At 41.4% G+C, this 26421-nt stretch overlaps 1 protein-coding gene across 4 annotated transcripts in view, besides 5 other annotated features; it reads right to left on the reverse strand.

Moving 5' to 3' along the window:
- The window catches only part of TMBIM4 (transmembrane BAX inhibitor motif containing 4), a 34151-nt gene extending 17456 nt beyond the window's left edge, over window positions 1–16695 (reverse strand). For 2 of the 4 annotated variants that reach the window (NM_001282609.2, NM_016056.4), the window contains exons 1-2: window positions 16554–16695; window positions 39–147 (exon numbers count right to left, since the gene is read on the reverse strand). In NM_001282609.2, coding sequence (NP_001269538.1) covers window positions 39–147; window positions 16554–16650 — 206 coding nt within the window. In that variant the 5' untranslated portion in view covers window positions 16651–16695. Of the gene's footprint in view, window positions 1–38; window positions 148–6863; window positions 7005–16553 lie in introns of all 4 variants that reach the window. The other 2 variants (NM_001282606.2, NM_001282610.2) reach the window with 2 other exon arrangements.
- Window positions 15847–15946: an enhancer, noted in NCBI's record as "active region_6613". NCBI's record gives its function as "activates an Ori minimal core promoter by ATAC-STARR-seq in GM12878 lymphoblastoid cells {active_cell/tissue: GM12878}" and the evidence as "EXISTENCE:reporter gene assay evidence [ECO:0000049][PMID:35858748]".
- Window positions 16429–16953: an enhancer, noted in NCBI's record as "H3K27ac hESC enhancer chr12:66563510-66564034 (GRCh37/hg19 assembly coordinates)". NCBI's record gives its function as "activates a minimal SCP1, AML or CMV promoter by ChIP-STARR-seq in naive H9 embryonic stem cells {active_cell/tissue: H9 hESC(naive)}" and the evidence as "EXISTENCE:reporter gene assay evidence [ECO:0000049][PMID:30033119]".
- Window positions 16597–16676: an enhancer, noted in NCBI's record as "active region_6614". NCBI's record gives its function as "activates an Ori minimal core promoter by ATAC-STARR-seq in GM12878 lymphoblastoid cells {active_cell/tissue: GM12878}" and the evidence as "EXISTENCE:reporter gene assay evidence [ECO:0000049][PMID:35858748]".
- Window positions 19675–19875: a silencer, noted in NCBI's record as "peak1773 fragment used in MPRA reporter construct". NCBI's record gives its function as "represses an SCP1 promoter by STARR-seq MPRAs in K562 erythroleukemia cells {active_cell/tissue: K562}" and the evidence as "EXISTENCE:reporter gene assay evidence [ECO:0000049][PMID:32103011]".
- Window positions 21523–21725: a silencer, noted in NCBI's record as "fragment chr12:66568604-66568806 (GRCh37/hg19 assembly coordinates)". NCBI's record gives its function as "represses an EF-1alpha promoter that drives an FKBP-Casp9 reporter gene in an ReSE screen in phorbol 12-myristate 13-acetate-treated (for megakaryocytic differentiation) K562 erythroleukemia cells {active_cell/tissue: K562(+PMA)}" and the evidence as "EXISTENCE:reporter gene assay evidence [ECO:0000049][PMID:32094911]".

A 26421-nucleotide genomic window follows, 5' to 3' on the forward strand; every position in this document is an offset into this window, starting at 1 on the left:
ATGTCTGAAAATTATTCATTACCATCTCATTACCTTACCTCTCATGTACAAATGTCCGTACAGACTCAAAGTATAAAAAAACTGTTGAAGTCACTGTAGTTAAGAGAACCTGCAGAGAAAGAATGCTGTAGACTTTTCTCAGAAAGGCTAAAAGAGAAAAAAAATTACATTACTATTTTCTTAACCATTTATCATAGAACAGTAAAATCAAATTTCCTCTTTAAAAAATTGTTTTTTACACGTATTCTTTCCTAATTTTCCTCCTAATAATGTAATGTATAACTAAAACTAGACAAGAATACAAAGCTTCCAAAATAATTTAAAAATTGTAAGAGATATCTAAACCTCTCTCCAAAAAGCATGAGCCTAAAAAAAATTAGTGGGCCAAAATGTAAATGTTTTCATCAAAATGAAAAATGTATTAAATGCCTAGTTGTACACAGCAGGATACAACATAGCAAAAGACTAAAAGCAGAACATTTTAAAAGAATGATTATATCTTGAATCTGAAAAGGAGAAATAGAAAGCATATAAACGTTAAGTTTTTTTATGTCTTAATTTCAAAAATAGTAAAACTATTTCCCCCAAATGAAACTTATCCTGAAAAGGCAAGTAATATATAAACTTACTTTCACTCATCTATTATTATTTCTCATTTATAGTACCCCTGCCTCTAGTTTCTATACAATAGAAAATCCTTTCATATTTTGTTATCAATACCCAGAAATCACCTCTAAGGCTTAATGATTCAATGCTTATTATTAAAGTCTTCTGATATACAGTGATACAAATAATACAATGAACTTCCAAGAACTCATTACCACCTTCAGAAATAAAACATTAATAACAGTTCCCACCTTCTCTCTGTGATATCCCTCTCCCTTCACACTTCCGGCTAACTACAAATCATCTTTCAAGATGCAGCCTTTCTCAGTTCCGCATTCTGAATTAGATGTTTCTCCTTCATGTTCCTGAGGAACCCTAAACATACCATTAATCACTTTATAATTGATAAGTCTACTTGTCCTTCACCCCCATTAGACTGTAAAGACCGAAAGCTCCCTAATAATTGGGAAGAAGCCTAATTCATTTCCTTACCCCCACCACTCAGCCTAGTGGATGGCATTGCATAAACAGTCGTTAAATTTTATTTGCTTTTAAATAAACTTTCATTAAATTTATGAAGGGTAAATTTTACTAGTCAGGGAAGAGAAAAAGTATTATTCTGAAATGAAACAGAATAATGGAGCCACTGCTTAGAGGACTGTGCTTAGGCAGGCAATAAAAATCATGTTGAATGACTTTTACCCAACAAAAGAAAATGTGATGTTGTCTCTTGCCTATCATGGCAATGCTCATGGTAGATGAGCATTAGATGGTGGATGTTCCTTTTGAAAAACATTCCTACTAAAGACCTGGCTTTCCAAGGAAGGGTGAAGTGCTTTGATGGCATGTCAGCCAAATATCAAGTTAAAAAAACAAAATCTTTCACAGGAATAAGGGAATTTTCATGAATACTAAGGATTTAATAATCAAAATGCCTAAATATTAAACTTAATTTTTCCCTCTGGCACTCTTTCCAAAATCTAGAGTGAGTTTTTCCTGATGTCCTAAACAGATTTTACTGGGCATATGATTTAACCACTGACTCATAAGAACACTGAGTGTCCATTGTATTTTGGCTTAGAGATAAACAGTTCTCAACTCCACAACAGATCTATGACTTACTTTCTCAAAAAGGCCCTGATGTCTGAATGCTTTGGGAGGTCATTTCTATCTTTTTCATAAAAGCAGAGTAAAGAATATACTACTGGCATGGACAATGTTATTTGGGATATCTTTCTGCAAATTTAATTATTAAACCAAAGGTCAAGCCATTACACCTGCAAGGGATTTTCTGGGCTATGAGAAAAAAAATCATATTCTTTACACTACAGCCTCCATGTCCTGGATTCAAGCCATCCTCTAGACTCAGCCTCCCAAGCAGCTGGGAATACAGGCCCACACCAGGATGGGGTGTGTGTGCACACGTGTGAGAGAGAGAGAGAGAGAGAGAGAGGCAGGGTCTCACTCTGTCACCCAGGCTTAAGTGCAGTGGCATGATCATGATTCACTGCAGCCCCAATCTCCAGGGCTCAAGCAATTCTCCTAACTCAGCCTGCCCAGTAGCTAGTACTACAGGTGCATGCCACTACGCCCAGCTAATTTTTTTGTAGAGATGGGGTTTTACCACATTCCCGGGCTGGTCTTGAACCCCTGGGCTCAAGTGATCCACCCACCTTGGCCTCCCAAAGTGTTGGGATTACAGGCAGGAGCCACCGTGACTGGCCCTGGAATGTATTCTTTACTTTTGATACCCTATTATGTACCTCATATAACTCAAACCCAATCCATATGATATATATTCTCTCAAGCAGTGGAAATTAGTGTTATTTCTTACCATTTTGTAAAACTGATTTACAGTTCAAAACAATGTGCACATTAAGATCTAATGTTTATTTGTATATATGTACACAAGTGCATATGTAATAAAAGACTAGAATAATATACATCCAGGTGTTCGTATACCCTGGGCAGTAGTACTAAGGATAATTTTCATATTCAGTTCTTTACTAATCTGTATTTTTTAGATACCAGCAGTATGTATTACTATTGCAATTAAAAACATTTTAAAGAAACTCGTGCTAAGCCTTTAAGTTCATACTAAAAAATTCTCCTTATGCAGATATTCCAGACCATAACTTTTTCTATACTTTAGTATCATAAGCCAAATCCCAGGCAAAAGCAGTATTGACACCCATTGTGAATAATATAAAAAGTAGCAAAGGACATGCATATACAGCTTTCAGGAAAATATAAAAGATTCAATATGAAAAGAATACTAGTCAAACAGCAAGATTTTCCAATTTTTGTTGAGTCCTGATTTCTTCCCTTCTATTTGACATCTCAAAACTTAACATGGCCAAAACTGGAGCTCTTCATTTATCCAAATTTGCTGTTCTCCCAGTGTTCTCATCGATAACCAGCACCAACATCATCCAAGCCAAAAACATAGAAGTCATCTTTGATTACCCCCTCCCTGTTCCCAATCTATCAGCAACTACTGTAGTTCTACCTTTGAAAGTACAACGTATCTGCCTCTTTTGGTCTCCTCTGTTACCTCCCTAGTCAAAGTGTGCCTAATCTCTCACCTGGACCACTGGAGGAACCTTCTGATTGGTCCCCATGCTTTCACTCTTGTCCCACCTATTTCTCCACACACTCTGTCAAAGTGATTTTTATGTAAAGTAAACCATATCATGTGACTCTGCTTAAATACTTAAATAATCGTTCCACTTAAAATAAAATGTGAAAGATTTTATAGGACCTACAAGGTCCCACATGATGTAGAACCTTTCCAATCTCATCTCAGCACTCTCTCTCTTCCTCACCATGCTTTACCCACATTAGTCACTTTCCCGCTTCAGGGCCTTTGCACTTGCTCTTTCCTCTACTTGGAATGCCCTTATCATTCTTTACATGAAGTAGTGGTTTATGGTAAGTCACAGTTCTTTGACACTCCCTTCAAGTGAGTCCTAACAAAAAGAATGATGCAAAAGTGGCAGGGTGCTACTTCTAAGACCAAGTCATAAAAGGGATTATGGCTTCCTCCTGCTCTTTCTTGGATCATTTCCTCTGGGACAGTGTTTCTCAACCTTGTTTTCATTATTCCCCGCCTAAGTAGCCTTCTAGGTACTTTTTTCCTAATAGCCCCCTCAATAAAATTTTAATGCCACAAATATACTATATATCTGTTGTACCATCGCCCTTTGGAAGGATATACACCATTATAAAATCTTAAGATTTTTTTTAGATCTTTACATCCAACTATCATCTAATGGGGTCAATAGCACCCCATTAAGAATGCATACTCAGGGAAGGCCAGCTATGTTGTGAGGAAACTAAGGGCACCCTATGGAAAAACACATGTGGGAGGAAAGTGAGGTCTCCTGCCAACAGCCAGTGAGAAACTAGGGACTCCTATGAATAGCCCTGTGAGTAGCCTGCCTGGGAGCACATCCTTCACCCCCAGTCAAGCCTCCAGATGACCAGCACTAGCCAATATCTTGACCACAACCTAGGACAAACTCTAAACTAAAACTACCCATATTCCTGACTCTCAGAAACTGAGATAATGTTTATTCTTTTAAACCAATAAGGTTTAGGGTAATTTGTGACACAAACAGAATATATATCTTGGTACTTGGAAGTGGGGCGCTGCCATACCAAACACCTAAAATATGGGAGAGAGCCTTTGGAATCAGGCAATAGATGAAAGCTGGCAGATCTGTGAGATGAAGGCTAAAAGAGCCTTGAAGAAACTGTTTGTAGAAAGTTAATGCCTTTGAGACTCCTGCAGGTGAGGGCTTAAAGGAAAGTGGGTAAAATTCTATGCAAACTGGAGGAAAGAGAATGCTTATATACTCAGAAAAAGTTTAGCAACAGTGTTAGCTATGGTAACATCAAAAGTAGAAAATGTGCTTAATGAAGTAGGTGAACAAACTAAGGAGACTCCCAGAGTGTTGAATGTACCTGCTGGCTTCTTGCTGCTTATACTAAAATAGAAGAGATACACAGCTAAAGGAAGAAATGTCAAAAAGATGGGCCAGGCATGGTGGCTCATGCCTGTAATCCCAGCACTTTGGGAGGCCAAGGTGGGCACATCACGAGGTTAGGAGATCAAGACCATCCTCGCTAACACGGTGAAATCCTGTGCCTACTAAAAGTACAAAAACTTAGCTGGGCGTGGTGGCGGGCGCCTGTAGTCCCAGCTACTCGGGAGGCTGAGGCAGGAGAATGGCATGAACCCGGGAGGCGGAGCTTGCAGTGAGCCGAGATTGCACCACTGCACTCCAGCCTGGGCGACAGAGTGAGACTCCGTCTCACAAAAAAAAAAAAAACAAAAAAATGAAAGGCTTCTGACTCAGGTAATCAAAAAAATACATAAAGAGTATAATTGTAAAATCCTTAGTTAAGACCTCACAAATATCCAAAATTGTGCCTCAAAAAAACATTCAGGCCGGGTGCAGTGGCTCATGCCTGTAATCCCAGCACTTTGGGAGGCCAAGGCGGGCAGATCACGAGGTCAGGAGATCAAGACCATCCTGGCCAACATGGTGAAACCCCGTCTCTACTAAAAATACAAAAATTAGCTGGGTGTGGTGGCATGTGCCTGTAATCCCAGCTACTCGGGCTGAGGCAGGAGAATCGCTTGAACCAGGGAGTCGGAGGGAGTCAGAGCTTGCAGTGAGCGGAGATCACACCACTGCACTGCAGCCTGGTGACAGAGCAAGACTCTGTCTCAAAAAAAAAAAAAAAATTCAAACAATAGGGCTTTTGAGAAGCTTAAGGAAGTTGTCACTCAGCAGTCTCAGCCAAAGATCATGCTAAGACACTTTTGGGTGTGGCTTTTATTGAATGGAATGAAACCCAGTAAGAATCACAAGACACCCACTAAGTTTTCTGAAGAATTATATTGGCAAAAATACCACCTCATATTATCCACCACTGGATGTTGACTATGGCAGTACAGATCATTTGTCTTTTTAGGTTAAAAGTCTTTGAGGGGAGCTGTATTTAAGGAACTACACCTAGGGAGCTACACCCAGTGAGCTTCAACAACACCTGGGGTTGATTTAGATGATGAGATTCTGAACTTTGAGATGATGCTATACTAGGGTATTTTGGAGGATCTTAATCTGCATATAGAAGACAAATAATTTGTGACCAGAGGGAAGACTGTGGTGGTTTAAAATACAGCTACAGATTATTTGGCACTAGCTTCAAAAGGTGGAACCTAAATCCCCTCCCCTTGAGTATGGACTGGACTTAGTGACTTGCTTCTGATTAACAGAATAAGGAAGATGTAATGATGTGTGTGATTCCATGACTAGGTCATAAAAGGCACTGAGGCTTCTTCCTTGTTCTCCCATGGATTGCTTGCTCCAGAGGAAGTCAGCTGCCATGTCATGAGGACACTGAAGCAGCCCTATGGAGAGGTTCATGTGGCAAGGAACTGAGGCCTCCAGTCAGTAGCCATGGGAATGAAATTTCCCAAAAGCAGATCCTCCAGCCCAGTCAAGCCTTCATGTGACTGCAGTCCTGCAGTCATCTTGACTGGAGCCTCCAGTCCAGCATCTTGACTGGAGCCTCATGAGAGACCCTGAGTCAGAACTACCTGGGTAAGACCCTCCCAAATTCCTGACACTCAGAAACTGTGTATAATAAATACTTGCTGTGTTAAGCTACAAAATTTGGGGGCAATTTGTTACAAAGCAATAGACAGCTAATCTGCCTGGCTAGCTCCTTCTCATACAATCCACCCGCCATCTCCCTTAAGAGTTCTTCCTCTGGCCATTCCTTAACTAAAATAGCTGCCACCCTAAACGCTAGTTTCTACTCACACCTGTTTCTTTTCTTCAGCGCTAGAGGGTTATTTATTGCTTACCTCTTTAGGGTCTGTCTTTCCTACTGCCCCATCCAAATGACCACTATGGAGGACTGAGACACTGGTCACCACTAGATCCCTAACATCTAAGACACAGCCTAGTCAAGTTTTGTAAACAAAGGAAAATGCTCACCTTCACTCACATAGCTAAAAGACATAGAAATTAACACATGATTACATTTTTTACCAACCACAAGAGTCAGCAAAGTATGGCCCGTGGGCCAAAGCCAGCCCACTACCTGGTTTTGTAACTGAAGTTTTATTGGGACACAATCACACTCACTTACATATCCTCTACAACTGCTTTTGCACAATGGCAGAGTTGAGGAGCTGCAACAGATATCTTATGGCCCAGAAAGCTGAGTATGTTTCTTACTTGGCCCTTTGTAGAAAATGTTCACCATCCCTGATCTACCAGATTGCCGGAGATGAAAAAATCTGATGATATTCAGTGTGGCTGAGGGTGCAGAAGGTATCCTCATATATTGTTTGCTGAAGGTACAATCTCTCTGGAGAACTGATTAAATCAATCAAATTTAAAATGCACATACTCTTTTGACTCTATCATTTCACTTCCAAAAATTTATAGTAAAGTCATAATGGAGAAATTTACAAAGATATAAAAGGATGTTCCCTGAGGCACTATTTGAAGGAATAAAAAAAAGGTAACAATCATCAAGTGGGGATGGTTAAATAAATTATGGTATATACATACTATGAAACTATGAAAGACTACTGCAGAATAAACTAGCTTAACAGACTATATCACATATATATTACAATAGACTAGTTATATATACTAGTTTAATCAGCACTGTAAAAGTGCTCAAGTAAGAGACTATATTCAGAAATTCATTCTCACATAATTTTTTTTAATTAAAAAGTAAACTTTAATGTCGAAAATGCAAACTTGGGGAGAGCAGAAAGATCACACACAAGGCTGTCACCTCACACTTGGAGGGTTGCACAGCGGCCGAGCAGAGGCGCTCCTCACTTCCCAGACAGGGCGGCGGCCGGGCAGAGGTGCTCCTCACTTGCCACACAGGGCGGCAGCTTGGCAGAGTCGCTCCTCACATTCCAGATGGGGCGGCGGGCGGGCAGAGGTGCTCCTAACATCCCAGACGGTGAGGGGGTGGGGCGGGCAGAGGCGCTGCTCACTTCGCAGACAGGGTGGCGGCCGGGCAGAGGCGCTGCTCACTTCCCAGACCGGGCAGCGGCGGGTCAGAGGCGCTCCTCACATCCCAGTCAGTTGGACGGCCGGGCAGAGGAACTCCTCACTTCCCAGACAGGGCGGCGGCCGGCAGAGGCGTTCCTCACTTGCCCGACGGGCCTTCTCACATAATTTTTTAGTAGCTTCATGATTTGTTGTTTTCCACCAATGAACCTTGACATTTTAGATGTATATTATTCAAAAAGTATCTTTCAGGAAATGTACACATTACAAGCAGCTAATTTGCTTTGTTTTGTTTTGAGACAGAGTCTTGCTCTGTCGCCCAGGGTGGAGTGCAGTGGCGCGATCTCGGCTCACTGCAAGCTCCGCCTCCCAGCTTCAAGTGATTCTCCTGTCTCAGCCTCCTGAGTAGCTGGGATTACAGACACATGCCACCACACCTGGCTGATTTTTTGTATTTAGATAGAGACAGGGTTTCACCGTGTTGCATAGGCTAGTCTCGAACTTACGCAATCTGCTCACCTTGGCCTCCCAAAGTTCTAGAATTACAGGTGTGAGCCACCACACCCAGCCACTTCATTTATTTTTATTTGGTGGAGCATTTTTAACCTTTTAAGTAGTAACGCACCGAAGACAAATGAGAACCGCTTATTTAGTACTGGTGTAGTCAGCTTAAGTTACCAACCTAGTGATAAGGACTCCTAATAAAATGCTCCTGCATAATTTAAATATTTGTGGTGAACAAATACTGAGTATCTGCTATTGCAATCAGCTTTTGTAGTGATGTGAGGGACGTAGAAGTAAATCAAGAATAAAATTAATTCTTTCCTTAAAACAGTCTATAGGCCAGGCACATTAGCTCATGCCTGTAATCACAGCTCTTTGGGAGGCCAACATTGGAGGAGTATTTAAAATAAAATAATTGCTTGACCCTTAAAACCACTTGATATAGTTGGAAGAGCAGCCAACTATGCCTCTTTTACGGATAAGGAATCTAAGAATCAGAAAGGCAAAGTAACCTGCTTCTCTACGTTGCTGTCAACCAAGACTGTGTTTAATTTTCAGACCCTTAAATCCAGGGCTCTTTCTACTACACTGTACTATTCCCCAACATCACTAAAAAAAAAAGGCCATTCTTCTCACTATAATGTATGGCATGCCATTCCCACCTTTCCATGCCTCATCACAAATTCTGTCTCCCCCATCTCCACCCCATGAATTCCCTTCACAAACAGTAGATCTCTCTTGTCTGCAGTTTTGCTTTTCAAGGTTTCAGTTACCCCACAGTCAACTACAGTCTGGAAATATTACCTACAATGAGATATTCTGAGAAAGAGAGACCAATTCATATAACTTTTATTATAGTATATTGTTATATTTGTTCTATCTTATTAATAGCTATTGAATTAACACAACATGGAATGCATTTGCCACAGATAAAGAGGGACAACTGTATGCAAACTCAGCCCTCCACTGGCATTTCACTTCCTTTTACTGCTCTCCTAGATTATTCCAGTTCACACTGTAAAAGTGATTATATGTCATACCCAACTAAATCACAGTCGAGGGGCCGGGGGAAAACTCATTTGGGGTGAATAGCCTGGTTTTACCTAGCAGCTGCTGAAACAATCTGCTGTGACTATCAAAATAGTTGTTTGCCAGTTCCCAAACGCTTCTCTAGTGCCAATGAAGGTTCTTGCAAAGTGATACATAACATTGTTCTTTCTAATAAAATCCCCAACCTTCTCTTTGTTCCTCAGACATACTGCAGACCACCCCAATCTGCACGTATATCCCAAGCTGCAATTTTGTTATTCCCAAACAAAATGTTTAATTTACAGCTTTGTCTCTTTATTTTGTTTTCAACAAAACACTCTTGATTCCTTCCCCAAACTCCCTCCAAACTTGGCGCTTTAGAATTTAATTATGCTGCTATCATAGTTTGGCTAGTGGCCAACCTAACTAATGCCTTAAGAACAGTGACTGTGACTTCCAAAACTTTTATTTATCTCACTGTCTTTACATACATTAGAAAGGGGCTGTCCAAAAAATATTTTTATTTATTAAATGTATGTTAATGGTTCAAATGTTTCCTTAATGGTGGTACCTTGAGTCACCAAGGCCTCTCTAATGAATGCCTTCTATTCACACACCAGATACCACCTCTACTCATTTAACTTGCTGCAATGGCTGCCATATTCTATCCCTATCCTTCCCTGAGGTGACCCATTCTCTGTCTTCCTTATTCCTGGGACTAGCAGGGACTCTTTCTCCTTGGGGTATCTATGAGTTAAATAGTTCTCATGCACTCCTATTTCTTGCAGTACTAGTTCTTAATTACTCTAATATATCACATCGTCACTGTTCATTTTACAGATGGATGGTGTATTAGTCCATTCTCACACTACTATAAAGAACTCCCCGAGACTGGGTAATTTATAAAGGAAGAGGTTTAATTGACTCACATTTCTACAGCGGGGGAAGGCCTCAGGAAACTTACAATCATGGTGGAAGGGGAAGCAAACATGTCCTTCTTCTCATGATGGCAGAAAGGGGAAATGCCAAGCAAAAGGGGGAAAGGGCCCTTATAAAACCATCAGATCTTGTGAGAACTTACTATCACAAGAACAGCATGAAGGTAACTGCCCCTGTGATTAAATTACCTCCCACCTGGTCCCTCCCACAACACGTGGGGATGATGGGAATGACAACTCAAGGTGAGATTTGGATACGGACACAGAGCCAAATCCTATCAGACAGAATCTGAGAATGTCTTATTGGTTTAAGAGACATATACTTTAGAAAGCTGAGCTTCAACACAAATCCTCAAACTCTTCCAAAAAACTGAAGAGGAGGGAACCCTTCAAACTCATTTTATGGAGCCTGCATTACCCTGATACCAAAGCCAAAGACACTACAAGAAAACTGCAGAGCAATGTCCCTGATGAGTACTGATGTGAAAATCCTCGACAAAATACTAGCAAACAGAATTCAACAGCACATTAAAAGGATTATAGATCACCACCAACCAGTATTCCTGGACTGTGAGGATGGTTCAATACATGAAAATTAATCAATGTAATCAGCACATTTACAGAATGTTGGGGGAAAAAGAAACATGATCATCTCAACTGATGCAGAAAAAGCTTTTGACAAAATTCCACAACCTTCATGATAAAAACACTCAATAAAGTAGGAATTGAAAGAAACTACCTCAACATATTAAAGGCCATTTTTCCACGGTAGTAGTTCTATGCAAACCGACCCCCAAATTCCAAGAAAGCTGAGAGGCTGGCAAATCCATTTTCTTAGAAAAAAACATTTAATAGGGACATAAGAACAGAAGCCATCTCTGTGTCTCTGTCTCAGGCAGAGAAAAGATAGTGGATCTACGGGCCATAAATCCCCTGACCTAGGGCTTATATACCAGAGGGAAAGGGTGATTCAGAAGGGATTGTAGGACAACTGAAGGAAGACAACATCAAGGTTGTTTTGACCTAAGGACAGGATTTATGGTAAGTACATGCTCTTATACAAGGAACCACAGATAAATTGGAAATCTTAGAGGGTTTCCTGGAACTGGGGTTAGTCAGAAGTCAACAAGGCAGATTAGCAACCAAGATGGAATTACTTTGGCCTCCACAGCCATATATGAAAAGCCCAGCACTAATGTCTTACTCAGTGGTGAAAAGCTGAAAACTTTTCATCTAAGATCAGGAATAAGACAAGGACGTTTGCTTTTGCCATTTCTATTCAACATAGTACAGGAAGTCCTCGCCAGAACAATTGGGCAAGAAAAAGAAATAAAAGGCATCCATATTGGAAAGAAAGGAGTAAAATTATCTCTGTTCACAAACATGACCTTACATGTAGAAAACCCTAAAGATTCCATAAACTGTTAGAATAAATGAATTCAGCAAAGATTCAAGATACAAAATTAAAATGCAAAATTAGTTACATTTTTATACACTAACAATGAGAAGGTTGGAAAGAAAGTTAAGAAAACAATTCCATTTACAACAGCATCAAAAGGAATAAAATGCTTAGGAATAAACCTAACCAAGAAGACAAATTTGAAAACTACAAAACACTGATGAAAGAAATTAAAGACAAAAATAAATGGAAACACATCCATCATTATACATTGGAAAACCGATGTTCATACTACCCAAAGTAACCTACTTTGGGTAGATTTAATGCAATCCCTATCAAAATCCCAATGGCATCTTTCACAGAAATAGAAAATCCATTCTAAAATGTATATGGAATGTCAGGGGACCCCAAATTGCCAAAACAATATCTAAAAAAAACAACAAAGTTGGAGATCTCACATTCCTGATTTCAAAACTTATTACAAAGCCACAGTAATCAAAACAGTGTGGTACTAACATAAAGACAGAGACATACAGACCAATGGAATACAACAGAGCTCCAATAATAAATCCTGGTATATATGATCCTTTTTTTTTTTTTTTTCAGACACGGTCTCCCTCTGTTGCCTAGGCTGGAGTGCAGTGGCACAATCACAGCTTGCTGCAGCCTCGACCTCCCAGGCTCAAGTGATTCTCCCACCTTGGCCTCCAAAAGTGTTAGGATTACAGGCGTGAACCACTGCACCCAACCTTGTGAATCTTCTTTAGTGGGGTATGTGTTCAAGTCTTTTGCTGTATTTTATTCAGGCTATTTGTCTTCTTATCGTTTAGAGTTCTTTTGTATATTTTGGATAACAGTCCTTTATTAGATATATCTTTTGCAAATATTTTCTCCCAGTATGTAGTCTATCTTATTTTCTTGACTTCTTCACTTTAAAATCAGGTTGTTTTTTGTTATTGAATGGTAGGATTTCCTTATGTATTCTGGATATTAGCCTCTTACAGGATATATCATTTGCAAATATTTTCACCCATTTTATGGGCCTTTTCACTCTGTTGAATGTGTTCTTTGATACACAGAAGTTTTAAATTTTGATGTCATCCATCTATTTTTACTTCTGTTGCCTGTTTTTGGTGTCACGCCCAAGAAATCCATTGCCAAATCCAATGTCCTCCTATGTTTTTATCTAAGAGTTTTATAGTTTTAGGTCTTACATTTAGGACTTCGATCTTTTTTGAGGTAATTTTTGTATACAGTTTAAGGTAAGCATCTAATTTCATTCTTTTGAATGTGGATATTCAATTTTCCCAACACCATTTGTTGAAGAGACTGCCCTTTTCTCATTTGATTGGCTGGGCACAGTGGCTTATGCCTGTAATCCCGGCACTTTCGGAGGCCAAGGTGGGTGGATCACTTGAGCCCACGAGTTTGAGACCAGCCTGACTAACATGACGAAACCTGTCTCTTCTAAAAATATAAAAAATTAGCTAGGCATGGTGGCATGTGCCTGTAGTTCCAGCTACTCAGGAGGCCGAGATGGGAGGATCACTTGAGCCTGGGACATTGAGGCTGCAGTGAGTTGTGACTGTACCACTGCACTCCAGTCTGAGAGACAGAGTGATACTTTGTCTCAAAAAAAAAAAAAAAAAAAAGAAAAAGAAAAAGAAAAAGGAAGAAGAAACACAAATGGCAAATAAGTATATGAAAAGATGCTCAACATTATAAGTCATTAGAGAATTACAAGTTAAAGCAACAAGGAGATGCCACTACACACCTATTAAATGGTCAAAATCTAAAACACTGATATCATCAAATGCTGACGAGTATGTGGAACCAACAAGAACTCTCATTCATTGCTGGTGGAAGTGCAAAATAGTACAGCCACTTTGTAAGACAGCTTGGTGATGTCTTATGAAACTAAACATTCTCTTACTATACAACACGGCAATTGTGCTGCTTGGTATTTACCCAAATGAGTTGAAAACTTATGTCCACACAAAAACCTGCACATGGATGTTTACAAAGCAGCTTTATTGACAAAACTTGGAAGCAGGCAAGATTTCCTTCAGTAGGTGAATGAATAAACTGTAATGCATCCAAACAATGGAATAGTATTCAGCACTAAAGAAAAATGAGCTATCAAGCCATGCAAAGACATGTAGAAAACCTTAAACGCATATTATAAGTGAAAAAGGCCAATTTGAAAGGTTACATGATAATTCCAACTATACAGCATTTGGGAAAAGACAAAACTATGGAGACAATAGAAGATCAGCAGGAAGGGAGGGATGAACAGGCAGAGCACAGAGGAAGGCAGTGAAACTATTCTGTATGATACTATCATGGTGGATACATGTCATTAAACATTTGTCAAACTCATAGAATATACAACACTAAGAGCGAACCTTAACGTAAACCTTGGTCTTGGGTGATAATGAGGTGTCCAGTCTAGGTTCACTGATTGTAACAAACATACCACTCTGGTACAGAACGTTATTAGTGCAAGAGGCTTGGGGAAAAGCAGAAAGGGTATATAAGAACTCTGTTCTTTCTGCTAAATTTTGCTATGAACCTAAAATTGCTTTTAAAAAATTAATTGGGCAAAGGACTTGAATAACATTTCTCCAAGGAAAATGTATAAATGCCCCACACGCATACTTTTAAAATGTGCAACATCATTAAATCATTAGAGAAATGCAAATCAAAACCAAAAGGACATACCACCTCACACTCATTTGATGGCTATTTTCATTTTAAAAAGAAAGAAAAGAACGGAATGTGTTGGCAAGGATGTAGAAAAAGGTGAACCCTTGTGCACTGTTGCTGAGAATGTAAAATGATGTAGCCCCTATCAAAAACAGTATGGCCGTTCCTTAAATAATTAAAAATAGAACTACCACACAATCCAGCAATTCCACTTCTGGGTATATATTCAAAAGAATTAAAGCACGGTCTTGAAGAGGTATGTGCACACCTATATTCATGACAGCACTATTCAAAGTAGTCAAGAGGTAGAAGCAACACAAATGTCCATCAATGGATGAATAAACAAAATTTGGTATATACATACAAAGTACTACTACTGTCTTAAAAAGGAAATTCTGCAGCCAGGTGCAGTGGCTCATGCCTGTAATCCCAGGACTTTGGGAGGCTGAGGTGGGAGGATCGCTTGAGTCCAGGAGTTCAAGATCGGATGGGGCAACATGGAGAAACCCGTCTCTACCAAAAGTACAAAAAAATTAGCCAGGCCTGGTGACCTGCATTTGTAATCCCAACTACTCGAGAGGCTGAGGCGGGAGGATCACCTGAGCCCAGAAGGTAGAGGCTGCAGTGAGCAGTGATCTCACCACTGCACTCCAGCCTCGGTGGCAAAGCGAGACCCTGTCTCAAAAAAAAAAAAAAAGGAAATTCTGACATATGCCACAACATGGATGTATTTGAAGACATTATGCTAATTGAAAAAAGCCAACCACAAAAAAACAAATACTGATTGTATCTAGAGTAGCCAAATTCACAGAGAGAGAAAGTGAAATGGTGGTTCCAGGGACTGGGGGAAGGAAGGAATGGGGAGTTAATAGGTATAGAGTTTCAGTTTTGCAAGATTAAAAAGTTCTGGATATTGGATGGTATATAAGTTTAGTCTAAAGCTATGCCTTTAGATATTTTAAGTTCAGCCTAGGGGTTCTCGGTATATAGTGAACTATAACCTAGTAAACAGGCTGTAACCTACGCTTGAACCAATCACTGAGTTTCAGCCAAAGATGGCCACGTGTTCAAACCATGTTCAAACGGGCAAAAACCAAGCTGTAACCAATCAACTCTTTCTGTACCTCACTTCTATTTTCTGTACCTCACTTTACTTTCTCTCTCCATAAATTTTCTCCCACCAAGCGGCAGGACTCATCACTCTGAACCTTATTCTGGTTCCGGGACCTGCCCAATTCGCAAATCATTCTGTGCTCAAACTCCGTTAGATTTAATGTGTCTAAAGTTTTTCTTTTAACAGTGCACAACCATGTGAATAACTTAACACTACTGAACTATACACTTAAAAATAGTTAAGACGGTAAATTTTATGTTACCTGTATTTTACCACAATTAATTTTTTTTAAAAAAAAGCTGAGTTCACTGGCCAAAATAATTTCAAAATTCAATTCCAAAAATATAAATGCTAGGCACCAAGATTCTTGGTGCATCAGAACTATCTTCATCTTTCCTTTTCCAGAACAAGTTCTAGGCACTAAGATTCTTAGCACATCAGAACTATCTTCATCTTTCCTTTTCCAGAACAAGTTCCAGCTGCCTAAACAGGCTGAAAGTCTGGGGCTGTTTCGGCGATCAAATGACCAAACTAGAGCAGGCAATGGCTTCCACGTAGATGAAGCTGAGCATTTTAAATTCAAAAATTTCTGCCCATTGGCTACTACGTAATAACTTAAAACACAATTTAGACTGACTTAGGAAGCTTCTGTGTTGAGCAACTTCCTCAATAATCCTCAAAGACCTGTTGCATTCTGGGCCCTGCGGAGAGGAAATAGTGCCGTCAGGGAGCTTCCAGCCTAGCACAGGACGGTAAATATAAGCCTGTAACGCGAAACCCCACAGAACAAAAACATCAGGCCGTGGATTCCACTCGTGTGTACGTCAGTCACAGTGATCAACCGACTCATTTCCACGACGTTTCTTTTCACTTCAAGATGCCAAATTCAGGCTGCGGCGGTTTCCATCTGTCCCTTCCTACACCGCGGCGCCCGCTGGGGAGCCGGGGCGCACACAGGACAGCCGCAAGCCTTCTGGGCCTGGCGCCCTCCCACACCCGCTAGGAGGGGAGGAAGCGCCTCCCCGACTCCCTGAGGAGGGCGCCAGTCCTCTGGTACCCGGAGAAGGAGGGCCGGGAGCTCAGTGAGCACTCCCTGTGAGTCCCAGGAGATGGCCGCTCTCCCTCGGAAGCCGGAAGTCGGCTTCTAGAGGCCGAGCAGTGCAGACAAGCGGCTGGGAGGCACTGGAGAGGGGACAACGTACCCATTCGGATGTGCACGGTGGCGGAGGCCACGCTGCTGCCATAGTTGAAGTCGTCCTCGATCGAGGAGCGAGGGTACCGGGGGTCGGGGTCAGCCATGATGGCAACAGCACCCCTACCGGTCCCGGTCCACTAACCGCAACCGCCTCCTCCCCACTTCCGCGAGGAAGAGCCCAGCCCCAGCAAGCCGTGCGGCGTCGGCGGGCGAACACCGAGCGAGTCGATTTTCTCGCTTCAAAAATTCCAGCTGGGCGGAGAAAGCGGGGATGGCTCCGAGTTAGAATGGAAGAGAAAACGGTTTACATTCCCGGCGTCATCTGAAGTGAAACTTTTCTCAACACACTTTTTTTTTTTTTTTTGAGATGGAGTTTCACTCTTGTTGCCCAGGCTGGAGTGCAATGGCACGATCTCGGCTCACCGCAACCTCCGCCTCCCGGGTTCAAGCGGTTCTCCTGCCTCAGCCTCCCGAATAGCTGAGATTACAGGCGCCTGCCACCACGCCAGGCTAATTTTTTTATATTTTTAGCAGAGACGAGGTTTCACCATGTTAGCCAGGATGGTCTCGATCTGCTGACCTCGTGATCCGCCCGCCTCGGCCTCCCAAAGTGCTGAGATTACAGGCGTGAGCCACCGCGCCCAGCCTGAACACACTTTAAGTCCTTTCACCTTGGAGAGTTGCTAAAGTGATAGAACCCATGTCCCAGTCACCCATCCACTCAACAAATACCCATCTCATTCATCCACTTTTTCAATAATCACACCGAGGATGCATTTTTACTTCTATTATTTTAAAATAATAATAATACCTACATTTATTGAGCACTTTCTATAAACCAGGCTTTCTGAATGAAGTAATATTTAATCCTGAAAGGCAAGTAGGAGCCAACCAGAGAAAGAGCAGTGATGTAGGCTGGGCCTCAAGGGACCAACGTCTGCAAAGAGGGAGACGGTGAAGCTCAGCTGGTGTAGGGGACAGGTGGCAAAGAATGAGGCTGGATAGATAAACAAAGGCCAGATCATCCTAGGCCAGAAGTAGAATACATTGAAGAGGGCCATTACCAAAGGCAGAGAAAAGGGGATAAAGTTGTATTACTGTAAGAGAGAGATGATGGTGGCAAATACAATGGATTAGAGTGAATATTCATGATATTGTTGTCATTCCAATATAAAGAGGTGTAGACATACCCAGAGTAGTGTCATCCTAGGGTCCCTTGGAATTGTTTTGATGAGTTTACTCTGATCTACCCACATTGCCCAGTCCTCACCTTAACCACAACACCCGAACACTTAGCAAGTGGAATTCAGAACAGTTGTGGAACAGTCTATTCTAAACTAAATCCTTAAACTTGATGTTCTCAGAAGCCTTTGCCAAAAGAACTAACGTCACTTCCACAATGACAAGAAAAACAAAACAAAACAAAAAAACACTTTATCTTTTATGATTTTACAAACATTTTACAAGCATATCATTTTAATTTGTTTTTGTTGGTTTGTTTTGAGATAGAGTCTCAGTCTGTCACCCAGGCTGGAGTGCGGTGGCTCTATCTCGGCTCACAGCAGCCTTGACCTCCTGAGGTCAGGTGACCACCCCCGGGTAATTTTTTGTATTTTTTGTAGTGACGGAATTTCGCCATGTTGCCCATGCTGGTCTCGAACTTGGGCTCAAGTGATCCCCCTACCTCGACCTCCCAAAGTGCTGAGATCACAGGCGTTAGCCACTGTGTCCGGCCCCTCGTTTTAGTTTAGTTTGTTGAATGGATAGGTGAATGGGATATGGCCTCTATCTCTTTAGTCACTCTCCAGGTGAGAGGACTTAAAAAGCTTGCTGAGAAAAATCTGAGAAAAGTTTTACTTCAGATGACACTGGGAATGTAATCCGTTTTCTCTCCCATCCTAACCCGAAGCCATCCCCTCTTTCTCTGCCCCGCCGTAATAATGGAATTTATTATAGAGGACAAACTGGAGCTAAATTGGGAACCCACCTTTGTATTGACTAAAAACAGCATCAGCAAAGTTTGATCCTTTACCTCTTACCAGTTACAAAAAAAAATAAATTCCAGATAGATTGTGGATATAAATGTGAAAGGCAAAAACAATAAAACTTAAAGAAAATGATACAGGAGAATATGATTTGGAGGAAGGCAAAGATTTCTGAAACCAGATACAAAATAGCACTTAACTTCAAATGAAAAGATTGCCAAATTAAATTATATTAAAATTAGGAATTTCTAGTAATCAAAATATACCATAAGAGAGTGAAAAGGAAGCCATAGAGTAGGGGAAGATATCTGCTATACATATAACCTACCTAAGGCTCCTTTTCAGAATATAAAAACAATTGTTACAAATCCAGACCAAAAAAAGACAGTCAATAGAAAAATAGACAAAAGACTGGAGGCGGGCGCAGTGGCTCATGCCTGTAATCCCAGCACTTTGGGAAGCTGAGGCGGGTGGATCACCTGAGGTCAGGAGTTCGAGACCAGCCTCAACGTGGAGAAATCCCGTCTCTACTAAAAATACAAAATTAGCCAGGCATGGTGGTACATGCCTGTAATCCCAGCTACTCGGGAGGCTGAGGCAGGAGAATTGCTTGAGCCTGGGAGGTGGAGGTTGTGGTGAACCAAGATCGCGCCATTGCACTCTGGCTTGGGCAACAAGAGCGAAACTCCACCTCAAAAACAAAAAAAAAGAAGGAAAAAAGACTGAAACAGGAACCTAACACACACACACACACACAGCCAAGTGGCTAATATATGAAAAGTTGATCAGAGAAATGTAAATAAATGCCAAAATTAGATATCTCTAAGCACCCACCAAATGATTAAAATTAAGAGATTGATAATATCAAGTGTTGGCAAAACTGGATTATCTAGAACTCAAATAAGAGCTGACTTAAAAGGTGTGCAACCTATGCTATTGCACAGAGCCCTGGACTCCGAAGGACTCTGCACTTGGTTTAATGCTCAGCTGTCACCATTTTGAAATACTTAGTAATTTTGCCTTTGAACATGTGTTTTGTAAGTGAAGTCTGAAAGTACAATGGAACATGAACATGAATAGAAGAGGTATGCACAATGTGGATGTCCACTGTTTCCTGCCAATCATTTGCATTTAAGCATTTAGCATGCCCCATGAGCTCAGAATTCTGTTAGACCTGCAATGTTTGGGAGTTAAGCTAGACTCAAAGCTAGTAAAAGATAAGCATGTCACACTTGTGACTTAGTAAAGGGAAGAGAAGAGAAGGCACAGACAGCCCCAAGAGGCCTAGCTTTCCTTACCGAGGAGAACTTACTTTGAATGCAGAAGGAAAGCAATGACGTTTTAAGAAACATGAATGACCAAGGAATCTTTTCACATCCTTTTTTTTTTCTTAATAGGGTCTTGTTCTGTTGCCCAGGTTGGAGGGCAGTGGTGCAATCATAGCTCTCTGCAAACTCCTGGGCTTAAGGGCTCACCCCATCTTAGCATCCTTAGTAGCTAAGACTACAAATGCATGCCACCATGCCCAACTAATTTTTTTTTTCCGAGATGGAGTTTCCCTCTTGTCCAAACTAGAGTGCAATGGCGCAGGTCTCAGCTCACTGCAACCTCCGCCTCCCGGGTTCAAGCAATTCTCCTGCCTCAGCCTCCCAAGTACCTGGGATTATAGGCATCCGCCACCACTCCCGGCTAACTTTTTTGTATTTTTTGTAGAGACTGGGTTTCACCATGTTGGCCAGGCTGGTCTCAAGCTCCTGGCCTCAGGTTATCCGTCCACCTCAGCCTCCCAAGTGCTGGGATTACAGACGTGAGTCACCGTGCCCGGACCTAATTTCTTAAATTTTATGAGACAGGGTCTTGCTGTGTTTCCCAGGCTGGTCTTGAGCTCCTGGCCTCAAGCAATCCTCCAGCCTTGGCCTCACAAAGCTCTGGGATTACAGGCTGTCACATCCTTTTTTTTTTTTTTTTTTTTTTTTTTGAGATAGAGTGTTGCTCTATTGCCCGTCTGGAGTGCAGTGGCGCGATCTCGGCTCACTGCAACCTCCGCCTCCTGGGTTCAAGCGATTCCCCTGCCTCAGCCTCACGAATAGCTGGGACTACAGGCACCCGCCACCATGCCCGGCTAATTTTTTTGTATTTTAGTAGAGACGGAGTTTCACCATATTGGCCAGGATGGTCTTGATCTCCTGACCTCGTGATCTGCCCGCCTCTGTTCCCAAAGTGCTGGGATTACAGGCGTGAGCCGCCGTGCCCAGCCCACATAGTTTTTTACTTGTGTTCTTTCCCTGTAAATGTCAACCACTTACACTCAAAGACACGGAAGGAAAGGGAAAGATATGGCAATCATAGTTCCTTTTCTTTTCAGGTTATCCTTTGCAATAAGCTGAAGGTAGAGAGTGTTGATATAGTTTGCATGTATGAAGAAGTGAAATAAAAATAATTGATTTAATTTTGTGTGAATTTTCCACAGTTCTTATAAGAATGAAATAAATATGTACAAGCTATGAAATACAAATCGTGTCATTTTGGTGATTCCACATATGCATTAAACGCCCTTTTAAATTTGTATTTAAAACTATCATTGCCTCCCTCCTCCCTCGCCCTCACCTTTGGTCTCCCTCTGTTGCCGAGGCTGGACTGTGCTGCTGTGGTCTCGGCTCGCTGCAGCCTCCCTGCCCCAGGCTCCCGTGGTTCTCCTGCCTCGGCCTGCCAAGTGCCTGGGATTGCCGGTGCGCGCCACCACGCCTGACTGGTTTTTGTATTTTTGGAGGAGACGGGGTTTTGCCCTGTTGACCAGGCTGGTCTCCGGCTCCTGACCTCGAGTGGTCTGCCCGCCTCGGCCTCCCGGGGTGCTGGGATTGCAGACGGAGTCTCGCTCACTCAGTGCTCAGTGTTGCCCAAGCTGGAGTGCAGTGGCGTGATCTCCGCTCGCTGCAACCTCCACCTTCCAGCCGCCTGCCTTGGCCTCCCAAAGTGCTAAGATGACAGCCTCTGCCCGGCCGCCACCCCGTCTGGGAACTGGGGAGCATCTCTGCCTGGCCGCCCATCGTCTGGGATGTGGGGAGCCCCTCTGCCCGGCTGCCCCGTCTGGGAAGTGAGGAGCGCCTCTGCCTGGCGGCCCTTCGTCTGGGAGGTGGGGAGCGCCTCTGCCCGGCCGCCCCGTCTGGGAGGTGAGGGGCGTCTATGCCCGGCCGCCCCATCTGGGAGGTGAGGAGCGCCTCTGCCTGGCTGCCCATCGTCTGGGAGGTGAGGAGGGCCTCTGCCCGGCCGCCACCCCTTCTGGGAAGTGAGGTGCGCCTCTGCCTGGCCGGCCGCCCCGTCTGGGAATTGAGGAGCGCCTCTGCCCGGCCGCCTGGTCTGGGAAGTGTACCCAACAGCTCCGAAGAGACAGCCACCATCAAGAACGGGCCATGATGACGATGGCGGTTTTGTCCTAAAGAAAAGGGGGAAATGTGGGGAAAAGAAAGAGAGATCAGATTGTTACCATGTCTGTGTAGAAAGAAGTAGACATAGGAGACACCATTTTGTTCTGTACTAAGAAAAAGTCTTCTGCCTTGGGATGCTGTTAATCTATAACCTTACCCCCAAACCCCTGCTCTCTGAAACACGTGCTGTGTCAACTCAGGGTTAAATGGATTAAGGGCGGTGCAAGATGTGCTTTGTTAAACAGATGCTTGAAGGCCGCATGCTCGTTAAGAGTCATCACCACTCCCTAATCTCAAGTACCCAGGGACACAAACACGGCTGAAGGCCGCAGGGACCTCTGCCTAGGAAAACCAGAGACCTTTATTCACGTGTTTATCTGCTGACCTTCTCTCCACTACTATCCTATGACCCTGCCACATCCCCCTCTATGAGAAACACCCAAGAATGATCAATAAATACTAAAAAAAAAAAAAGAAAAAAAAAGGAAAAAACAAAACAAAACAAAAAAACACAAAATTAGCCAGGTGCAATGGCACATGCCTGTGGTCCCAGCTACTCTGGAGGCTGAGGTAGGAGAATCGCTTGAACTCTGGGGGCGGAGGTTGCCGTGAGCCGAGACCGCACCATTGCACTCCAGCCTGGGCAACAAAAGCGACACTCCGTCTCAAAAAAAAAAAAAAAGAAAAAAAAAGAAAGAAAGAAAAGTAAAGAAAATAATATCCAACTCAGAGTGCCGTAAGGACTAAATGAGCTAATAAATACCAAGAGCTTAATAAAAAAAAAAACTATCATTGCAAAATATAAATATCAATGGCAAAATTTGTGCTAATAATTTTAAATGATTTTTTATTTACTACATTAAATAGCAAATAAAAAACATCATGGCAAGTCAAGAGATTTCAAAAGAAACAAGCTTTAATATTTAAGTATCTTTAATAGGGCTTTTTCCTGCTTTTTGAACAAGAGGTCCAACATTTTTACTTCTTGCTGGGCCCCACAAATTATGTAGATGAAGCAATTCCTTTGGAAAATTGGCAGTATCTACCAAAGTTGAACACACACTGCAAGTTCTATTACTTGGCAGTTCTACTCCTAAGTAGAGTATGTGTCCAATAGAAATGCATGCACAAGTTTACAAAAGACATAACCAAGAATATACATAGCCACATTATTCTTAATAGCTAAAATCTAGAAACAACTCAAATTGTCCACTATTGGAAAAAATGAATAAATTATATTCATATAATCACATACTTTATACAATTAAAATGAACAAATTGACATGTTCATGGATGTAGCTTACAAACATAATGCTAAGCAAAAGAAATCAAATGCAAAGAATATATAGAATAGTATAAAGAATAATGTAAAGCTGAAAAGCAAACAAAAGTAATCTATGGTCTTACATATCAGGAAACTGTTTATCTTTGGGGAGGAGGAAGGCATAATCATCAGGAGGAGGTACTTAGAAGGAATTCCAGGATTTCAGTAATGTTCTGTTTCCTGGCTGATTACATAACTTTCACTTCTTGATAATGAGGCAAGCTGTTTATACTTAGGATTTGTGTATATTTTATACTTAAATTTGTATATTATACTTAAATTTTAAAAATTGTCGTAAAAAAGTGAAAAAGTATTTGCTCCCTCTCAGTTTAGATAAGAAAGCTATCTTATGAAAATAAAGCATTTACTTATAGACATGAAATCCAATAACTCAGTAATCTAATGCTTCTCTATTTCTTTTAAAGCTGCAATTTCAAGGAAAGTGCTTTGTAAATAACATCACTAATCCAAAGGAAATTTTATTGATTTTTAAAGACCTATCTGCATGCTTCCTCTTCCCTCTAACCATCTCTTCATCATTCTCACCTCCTTTTCATTTGTGTTTGCTCTCAAACCCCAAGCTAAAACATCTTCTGGACTATTCTCAAACTATGATTCTGTCCTTATTTCTGGATTGCCAGACAACACAAAACGTTTTTGTTTTTGGCTTTTGGATATTAACCTACATTCAACATTAAAGGTCCTGGAGATGTGAGTTGCAATTATCTTTAAAATTGTTTTATCTTTAAAATTTTATTTACAGCTCAACTTTAGTGGCCAGAGTAGTGGAGATTTGTAAGGCTCGTGGATTACTTAAAAAGAGCAAGGGCATTTACAGCCAAATAAACTAGAACACATTGATGTTCTGGGAGGGTGGAGCATCTGGAAAGGGCATGGAAGCTGCATCCTGGGTGCCCTTTCAGACCTTGCAGCCCTATCTCTTTATCTTGCTGTTCATTTGTGTCCTTTATAATAAAATGGTAATAATAAGCATAGCACTTTCTGGAATCCCGTGAATTGTTCTGGTGAGTTATCCAACTTGGAGGGAATCATGGGGACTCTCAAATTTGTATTTAGCTAGGCAGAGATGCAGATAGCTTAGAGATACCTGAGTCTTGTAGCTGGCATCTGAAGTGGGGGCTGATTCATGGGACTGAGACCTTTACTTGTGGGGTCTGCATTAACTCTGGGTAGTTAGTGTTAGAAATTATGGACCTTGTCCTTAACTTGTGGAATCTGTCAGTAGTGTTAGAATTGGGATGAATTGCAGGACACCCAGTTGGTGTTGGAGAATTGTTGTCAGAACATAGCGTGTAAAGTAGTAACACGGTGCCTAGCAAACGGTGAGTGCTCACTAAATGATAGTTGTAATTATTATTGGCTGAAGGCAAGGTCATCACTTCTTTCATTGATTAGACATTTATTGGGAAGTTACTCTGTGCCAAGCAGCATGCAAGGTACACAGAGATGACTGACTCCTCTGCTACACACCAATGCTCCACAAGCCCACAGGAAAACAATACCAAAAAAAGAGTTCTGATGGAAAGTAGTACTGAATGTTATGGAACCTAGAAGAAATGATTAACTCTGGGGAGATTATAAATGATTTCATGGAGATTATAAAGTGTTTCAGTTACCTAGGGCTGCTGTAACCAGTTACCACAAAGAGTGACTTGAAACAACAGAAGTTTCTTCTCTCACGGTTCTGGAAGCCAGAGTTTGAAATCAAGATGTCTGTGTATGGTTTATTCCTTCTAAAGGCTCTGAGGAAGAATCCGTTCCACACCTCTCCCAGCTTCTGGTGGTTGCCAGCAATCTTTGGAGTTCCTTGGCTGTGGCTGCATCATTCCCATCTCTTCCTCAGTTGTTACATGGCCTTTTCCTCCTCTGTGTCTCCAAGTCCAAATTTCTCTCTTCTTATAAAGTCACTAGTCATTGAATTAGGGGCTACCCTAATCCAATATGAGCTTGTCTTAACTTGATTGCATTTGCAGCATCCCTATTTCCAATTAAGGTCACATTCAGAGGTACTCAGGGTTAGGACTTAAACGTACATTTTGGGGGTAAACAATTCAACCTGCAACACAGAAATGGTGGCTTTTCAATTGAGTAATAAAGGATAAGTAGGGGTTCACCAGGTAAGAGATACTGCAAAACCTCAAACATGAAGTAACAAACAAATTGGAAAAGACCCAGACACATATCAGAAATACTACAGAAGAACAAGATTTGGTGACTTATTAGATATAGGTACCTACTACGAGGTGCTCAGTAAATCCTTCTGAAGATAGTATTAATCAGTCAGTCAAAATTACTCAGAGTTACCTTGGCCCATGTGACCAGAAACAAGGAAGTTGATTTTCTAGGAAACAATCAGTTTGGGACATGATGATTTGAGATGAAAGCAAGAAATCCAAATGAAATTTTTCAATAAATGCAGGAGGTGAGAAGAGAATCTGCAGGGCAGGTTAGGGCTGATGACACAAATATCAAAGTAGTTGACTTAGAGATTGATAGATGAAGAATGAGATTATATGAAACCTCTAAGACAAAATAAGAAGATCAACAAATTCAGCCTATGGGTACATTATACAGGCCAGAAGAAGAGCTAGTTAAGAAAACAGAAGAAACAGTCAGTATGTAGGAAAAAAAAATACTGAGTATCATCATGGAGGACAAAAAAGGCAAAAATTCAAGAACGATGCTATGTAATGAGAGGGTAAATGTGGAATTGTCAGAATGAGTCTTGAGGACATTTGATCTGAAAAATTACTAGGATTTTTAAACCTAAATATGCTGAATATTTGCACATACAGACCTTTGTTATTGTCTTCATTATAAAGGCACCAGATTACATCCAAGCTTTACTCTTCCATAAAATTTCAGAACAATGTAATAAATTCTGTACAAGAAGAACAAGAGGAACAATAACTGCTGTGAAAGACGGGAAGATGTGGATAATGAATGACCAAGTGTTGTTAGGATGTATACTCTGAAACCTGATGATGTAACATCATTTCTTGAAATTATGCACAGAGAGTTTGTTATGGACTGAATGTTTCTAACACCCCCCCAAGCCCTATCACCCAACCCAAATTCTTATGTGGAAGCCCAAACCCCTGGAGTGGCTGTACGTGGAGA

This window comes from Homo sapiens, chromosome 12, assembly GCF_000001405.40.
Source record: "Homo sapiens chromosome 12, GRCh38.p14 Primary Assembly".
Classification (NCBI taxonomy): domain Eukaryota; kingdom Metazoa; phylum Chordata; class Mammalia; order Primates; family Hominidae; genus Homo; species Homo sapiens.